A 7,373-nucleotide genomic window follows, 5' to 3' on the forward strand; every position below is an offset into this window, starting at 1 on the left:
TTGTAGTCCCATCTACTCAGCAGACTGAGGTGGGAGGATCGCTTGAGCCCAGGAGATGGAGGCTGCAGTGAGCTATGATTGCACCACTGCACTCCAGCCTGGGCAACACAGCAAGATCCTGTTTATAAAAACAAAACAAAACAAAAAACCCAGCTTGAGATGGCCAGGGATTTCCAGAGGCCCTAGGCGGGCCACCTTGGAGAGTAAGGGAGACCCTGAAGAGCTCGCATGGAAGGACCAGCAGCTTGGGGCTGGAGATGCCACCTGGATGGATTCCTCCAGCTGTGTGGACTAGGGGACAGGGTGAGGAGATAATGGCCTGGACTACATGGAAGGACGTCGCCCTGAGCCATTGAAAAGGGCTGTGGGGTCCATGACCACTCCTGGCCTTCCCTTGACTATGATGGAGACAGTAGCTTCTAGTGTAAAATGTGAGCTCAGTTCCTGACTCGTGTCTAGCGGGTGGTGCCTGGTCTTTGGCTGGCGATGCTCCATGTCACCTATGCCCAGAAACTGGGCCATGCCCTTTGTGAGGACCTGCCCACAACGTCGTTGTTCCCGCAGGGTCCCCGGGGAACCGGGCTGCCCGGGACCCAGCCCTGCCAGGGTTCCCTGCGGCCCAGGCCGGAACCCCCAGGGCTTTGGTCGTTCCCAAAGCCGTCCCGCGGGCCCCCTCCACGGTGCGTCGCCTGGGCCCCAGCGATGGCTAGGCTGCAGCCTGGGGCTCCCGGCCATCCCGGGCGCTGGCGGCGGTGGAGGCAGCAGGGCGGATGGCGACGCCCGGCCGCCCGTGGGCCCAGGCGCGTAGTGCGTACAGAGCCAGCGAGGTGCTGCGGCGCGTCACGGGCCGCCGGCGGGACCCGGGGCCGCAATCCAATGGGCCGGGCCGGGAAGACGCCCGAGCCCCGGGCCGGCTGGCTCGCCTGCTCCGCCAGCTCCGGGCCGAAGCGGCTTCGCGGTCCGAGGTGCCGCGGCTGCTGAAGCTGGTGGAGCGTGCGGGGGCCGGGGCGGCGGGCGCGGGCGAGAGGACCGGCGCGCACAGCCGCGGCTCCGTGTGCTCAGTATGCGGGGAGCCCCGCGGCAGGGCCACCTACCCGGCGGGGGTCCTGGAGGTCAGCGAGCGGCGGCTGCAGGAGGGACTCGCGGCAGTGCGCGAGGAGCTGGGCGCCGAGATTGAGGCGCTGCGCGCGGAGCTTCGAGCGGAGCTGGACGCTCTGCGCGCGCTGCTGCCGCCGCCGCCGCCGTCCCCGCCTGCCCGCCGCGAGCCCCGCGCCGTCCCCCGCGCCGCGCCCCGCGGCCCGACCCTGCTGCGGACGCTCGGCACCGTGAGCGCCCTGGTCGCCGCCTCCAGGCCCGCAGACGACGCCCCGGACGGCCCAGCAGAATGCGGAGCGCACCGAGCCCCGGCCAGGAAGAACCACAAGAAGATGCCAGTGCCGCCTGGGGCCCCGCAAGGTGGCGGGGACTGAGGGCGGCCGCACAAGGGCAGCCTAGGCGAGGTGCGGAAGGCGTCGCGCTGGCTACTCTGGTACCCCCAGGACGGGGCAAGTGAGCAGATCGGTCCCCCTCGTGTAGCGTGGCTCTGAGTCAGAAGGGTGCCCGGGTGCCGCCAGTTAGGGCTCCGGTACTGGAGGGAGGGGGTGGGCGCGGGACGGGCGGAGGGTGGGCCACGTGCGTCTGGGGAGTGCGGATGGGAGCCGGGGTCCTTGCGAGAGACTGAGTCCGGCTAGAGAACAGGGTGGAGCCCCTTTGGACCTTAGAGCTGGGCCTTTGGGCCTTGGGTCTGGGTCAGCCTTTGGGCCAGGGCTGGGTCAGCCTCCAGGGGAACAGCCGAGACTCCTCTTCCTTGGGGTGACTGCACGTTCTTTTTCTTTCAAGGTCTCAGTGACGAGGCAGGGTCTCCACGCACTGGAATAGTGTCAAACCACACACAAGGGCACAGAACCCAGGGACACAGGGCGGCTGAGACACGCAGCTGGTGATGGCCCTCAGGACGGTGTCAACCAGTATGTAATCACATTCCACACGGCACCAATTGGACAGCGGCCTCCGGTCAGCCTCACTCTGACTGCAACCCCCTCTCACTGGACAGCATCACCTGGACACAGAGCCTCACCTAGTCTGTGTCCCGTGGACACAACTTTGCTTTGGACAGTGACACCAAGAATACTCACCCCTTTACTTAGCCAGACCACAGGCAGCCACCGGGACACAAACATCTCTCCAGAGTCACCCTCCACACAGACTCCACAGCAGAACTCCCAGGGAGGCACTGGGGCATGGCTTCAGAGCACCAGGCAGCGCTCCGCGGTGCCCAGCACCCGCTCAGCCAGGGCAGCCTGCAGCGGAGCCTGGAGCCAGCAGCTTCTCATCTCTTGGCCTCGGGAAATGTAGCTGGAGTCATCATTTAGCAGAGCACGGTGTCCCTGGGTTGGCCACCCAGCTTAGTTTTAAAATAAAATAATGTAATCTTGGCCTAATGGTGGAATTTCTGACTGCTAGATGTTCTCCTTCCATCTGACCAGGGGATTCAGACACAATGTATAGGATGAGGGTGGGGGCCCTTCTCCCTCTGAGAGGAACCTGGAGAGGCCCGGGTTCTGCTGAGGTAGGAGAGGGTCACTCAGAGGGCTCCCACGGAACAGACAGGCACACTGAGGCCTCAGTGGGATTAGGGCAGGAAATGCCCCTCTTGCAGTGGGGGACCGCGCCGGGTCACGCACCCACCCCCTCCAGGCCACATTAGGCTAAGGTCACTCTGTGCATTATTTCATTATTTCACACGGAGGGTCGCCCACGGTTGACAGAACCACAAGCTGAGCCCCAGGCGCATCAGAGCGCAGTGCACACCTGCTAGGGTGGGGGAAGAGCGGGGGGCTGCTGCGGGGACCGAGGCTCTGGGGGAGGCCAAGACTGTGTGCCCCTTAAGAGGCTGCTGTGGGCCAGGCGCGGTGGCTCACGCCTGTAATCCCAGCACTTTGGGAGGCCGAGGCGGGCGGATCACGAGGTCAGGAGATCGAGACCATCCTGGCTAACACGGTGAAACCCCGTTTCTACTAAAAATACAAAAAATTAGCCGGGCGTGATGGCGGGCACCTGTAGTCCCAGCTACTCAGGAGGCTGAGGCAGGAGAATGGCATGAACCCGGGAGGCGGAGCTTGCAGTGAGCTGATTCCACCACTGCACTCCAGCCTGGGCGACACAGCAAGACCCCGTCTCAAAAAAAAAAAGAGGCTGCTGTGGGCGGAAGTTACCCGTGAGCGGTATGGGGTGAAAGTGGGAGGGTCCAGCCTGGGGCACGGTGTGGAACAGGGTCATCTGAGGGTGCAGGGCAAAGAGATCAAAACGGGGTGGGAGAGGGGCAGCGCCTGCGGGAGGAGCCAGGCAAGGCCCGGGGAGGGGTGTGGGGGGCGAGGGGGGACGGTGGCTCCACCTGCACCCACCGGATGGGTATGGGGTCCTCGAAGACGGTCCAGAGCACCGTGGGCTCGCAGTCAGGCGGGGTCAGTGACCCAGCGAAGCGACAGTAGCTCGAGGTGTTGGGCCGCATCGACGCCAGCAGGAAGGTGGACATCAGATTCACTGAGAGCCCCAGGCGGCAGAGGGAGGGGGATTGGAACCAGCCTCCCCGTGCCCTGCTGGTGCCATCCCCAGCAAACCCCCCGCCCCTGAGCCGGAAAACGACCCGGTGGCTCCTCACCTGGCTCAGGCACCTTCCTCAAGCCCGACACTATGGCGCAGAAGTTGGTGTTGCTACAGTCCTGCTCCTGGGAGGGGCTCCAAGTGCAAGGGGTTCTGAGTGGGGGAGTCTCTGAAGAGGGAACTCAGCTGGGATACTCTAAGCAGGAGGCTCCCAGTGGCAGGAGGCATCTGGCATCTGGGAAATGGGGTGGAGGGTTCTCGCCGCCACTGGCCCTGCCGATTCAGGCATTCCCACCGCCCTATCCTCCCACAGATCCTATAGACCCTAGAGATCCCCCCATGGACTCCACAGGCCTAGCCTGTCCACTTCCAGGATCCCCATGGACCCCTTTTTTGGAAACATACATAGAATCACAGCCCTGCCTTCACCGCCAGCAGCACCTCCAGCAGCAGGGCCTGCACTCGAGCCCATCACCGTGGCGTGGTGCCTCCTCCATGCTCTGGTACTTTGTGTTACTGTGGACCACATGCATCTGGGGGTAGGCACAGATGTGGGAGATACCCAGCTGCCCCCACCTTGCTCTCTCTCATCTCCGTGGGAGCACTCCGGCCACCCCACCTTGTGCCCAAGTCTACCTCCATAGCCTGGCGCTGCCTGTCCAGGCTGTGCTCTGAGTCTGCTCGCCTCGGGCCCCCCCCCCGCCCCCAGCTGATGTGCAGCCGCAGTGCGCGGTAGACAGGCAACAGCAGCCCAGCCTCCCAAATCTCCAGGTGGTTCTGAGGATCAGTGTCCATTCAGAGTAGCAATGAAGGGGAGGAGGCACACGACACCCTCTCTACCTCACCACCTGCCCACCTTGTGCCATTAGAGCACAGGGTACGAGCAGAGGCCCTTCCTCAGGCCAGGCTGCTCCCCAGTGGGGCCCCATTGCCTCCATGGAATGGAACCCATGGTGTCCATGGCTCCTGCTGGTCAGCAGAGCAGAGTTCCACAGACTGCAGGGGAAACCCTCCCCCACACACCCAGCATGGCATGGAAGAAGGCAGAGGGCAGCCCTCCTGGGGTGGGGCTCTGAGCCCAGCTGTGTGTGGTCAGGGATCCTGGCCCTGCCAGAGACCCTGACTCCTGGTCCTCAGGGGCCATGGCTGGTTGTGATTTGTAGGGTGGGACCTGGCACCTACACAGAGGGCGCATCTGGACTGCTGTGTGAGGATGCTCCTTTCCTGTGAAGCTAGCCCCTGTGGAGGGTTTTTGGCCCTGTAGGATGTCTCAGCTCCCGTGTGTAGGGGGTCCTGGTCCCTGTGTACACTCAGGAGCTCTCATGCCCTGTGTGGGGCTCCTGCTCCTGCCTAGGAGGGGTCCTGACCACAGGGTGCTGACCTGTGTGGCTGTCATTCTCCAGGGTCCAAGGGCCTGGAGGTGCTGAGTCATAGCCTCGGAAGATGAAGGGCCCTAGGGTAGAGTTCCGCCGGACCCTGTGAAAGTCAATGTCGATGAGGGACTGGCCTGGGCCCCCACAGGCAGGGGCCAGCTTCTTCCAGTGGGTGGGGACTGCTGGAACAAGGACTGGGGCCTTTGGGGTGGGGGTGGGGTCAGGGAGGCAGCCTGGGGGTGCAGCAGAGAGTGGCCCCCATACACCCAGAGGATAGCCCAGCCTCAGGAAACCCAGCTCCCTGCTTCCCCCACACCTGAACAGGTCACAGCATCCCCCTTCTCTTGTACCCTGCATCTGGCCTATCCATCTAGTCTCCCGGTTGGCTGCCCCATGGTGAGATGAAGGCAAAAGAGTCTCTGGCACACAGTTGCACACCCACACTGGGACCTCTATCACCTGCACACACTTGGGCTGGCCACAGTAACAGGCACACCAGCCTTGACTGACTCGGGACCGGCGATCACAGCAGGCCCAGACTCACACACAGGGGGACAGTCACGCACTTGCACCTGATGCCCAGTCAGTCTACTGGGGCAGACGACTACAGACAGAAACCTGCAAAGGCCACAGAGTGCAGGGTGCAGACTGTCTCTTGGCCACTCTTGCACCACTGGCACATGCTCTGGTGGTCCCAGGACACAGACTGATCTCACTCAGCCTCACATGACACTCTGTCCTCACCACACTTGGGGTCCTGGGAGTCGTAGCACCAGGCACCTATAGAGACAGTGGGCAGGAGGCTGAGCTGAGAGACCAGTCATCTGGGTCCTCTCCAAGCCCCATCCCATCAGCTGGGGTCCAAGAATGAAGTAGGCCAGGGGCTTAGGCCAGGGGAGGCCAGTGAAGAACCTTCTCTCCTGTCACCCCTACCCCAGTATTTTCTCTCCCCAGTCCCTCCCCACTCCCAGTGGCAAGACCTAAGGGGTGGTGGAGCATGGCAAGAGGGTAGATTGGAGACCAGACGGGAAGAGTCCTGGTGCTCACTCTCAGAGTCTGCGCCACACCAGCTGCACTGCAAGGCGAGCATGATGCCAGGGGCGTGCGTGGCTCAGTGGCAGCCGCAGCTAGGAAGGACTAGAAAGTGGCTAGACCTCGGAGCCAAGATGCTGGCCTGGCTACTACATATTTATTCATTAGCTAGCTGGGCTAGGGGCGTGGCTATTGAGGAGAGGATGGGAGGGGTCGGTGCCCAGGCAGGGCCACCAGGAAGAGCGCGAGCGCTCCAAACTCACCCAGGTGTGCTGTGGTCCCAGGGCTGCACTGATGCCAGCAACAATCGCTGAGGTTAATCCTGCAGGGGAGGGGTGACCTATTATTATCCCCACTTACAGTCCAGGAAACAGAGGCTGGGGACCAGAATGACACACCAAAGCCACCAGCAAGAAAGGTCAAATAGTGAGGGCACCTTGAACCCCAGCGCTCATGACTTTCGGGGCAAGGATGGGAGGAAGGTGTAGGATGTCTCTTGCCCCACTGTGGGCCTGGAACTGCCACCCCATCCCAAGACCACAGCCTCCCTCCTGCCCAGGCCCCCCTGCGGATCCAGGCCAAGACGGAGCCCTGCAGGAGGTCAGAGGAGGGGACTTCTTTGCACCCTGCGCCTCTTTCCAATCGCCAGAGGGCAGGGCCCTACCCACATTGGGGATGGGAAGTCAAATGCAGAAGTTAGGTGAAGTCAGTTCTTGGATACTCCTGTACTGTCACCCTGGTCTTATCTCATGCCTTAGCCCAAGCTGTGCACACAATGGGGTCCTAGGTCCCCCTCACCTCCCAGATTCCACCTTCCCAGGGATGGGACCCCCTAGAACCCTCGGGGGCCTGGGCAGTGGCCTTGCTGGCTCTTGCCTTCCTAGGAGCTGAGCAGGAGCTCCACTCTCAGCAGGGCAGTTCACTGCAGCCTCTGCTTCCTCAGCTCAAGCCATCCTCCCACCTCAGCCTCCTGAGTAGCTGGGAATGCAGACACACACCACCACGCCTGGCAAATTTTTGTATTTTTAGTAGAAACAGGGTTTCACCATGTTGCCCAGGCTGGTCTTGAATGCTTGAGCTCAAGCGATCTACCCACCTCGGGCTCCCAAAGTGTGGGAGCCAAGATGGGAACCCAAGCATACGGCCCCAATGCTGAGGCTCTGAACTACTGACCTGCCCTCAGCACTCAGCCTTGGGATCATGAGTCACTGTGCAAGGGAGTTCCAACATCTGCATGTATGTCTGGAATGATCTGAGCCTGCAGAGTTCCTACACACTGGCCACATTATAGGGTGGTGTCTGTGGTCACACAGCTCAGGTCAGGTA

General features: G+C 62.3%; 1 protein-coding gene and 1 pseudogene across 3 annotated transcripts; one reads left to right on the top strand and one right to left on the bottom strand.

Annotated features, from left to right (window-relative positions):
- Positions 1-770: 770 nt before the first annotated feature.
- On the top strand, positions 771-2,474 carry FAM246B (family with sequence similarity 246 member B). 3 transcript variants are annotated; one of them, XR_007067956.1, is made up of 2 exons: positions 771-1,548; positions 1,879-2,474. XR_007067956.1 is itself a non-coding variant. In XM_047441115.1 (2 exons), the coding sequence occupies exon 1, from the start codon at positions 771-773 to the stop codon at positions 1,467-1,469; it is 699 nt and encodes a 232-aa protein (XP_047297071.1). In that variant the 3' UTR covers positions 1,470-1,499; positions 1,879-2,474. The 3 variants fall into 3 exon arrangements, 2 of the variants coding, with proteins under 2 accessions (XP_047297071.1, NP_001382955.1); XM_047441115.1 differs by having other exon boundaries at positions 771-1,499; NM_001396026.1 differs by lacking the exon at positions 1,879-2,474 and having other exon boundaries at positions 771-1,469.
- On the bottom strand, positions 2,774-6,153 carry CA15P2 (CA15 pseudogene 2; annotated as a pseudogene).

The sequence above is a fragment of the Homo sapiens genome, chromosome 22 (genome assembly GCF_000001405.40).
Source record: "Homo sapiens chromosome 22, GRCh38.p14 Primary Assembly".
NCBI lineage: Eukaryota > Metazoa > Chordata > Mammalia > Primates > Hominidae > Homo > Homo sapiens.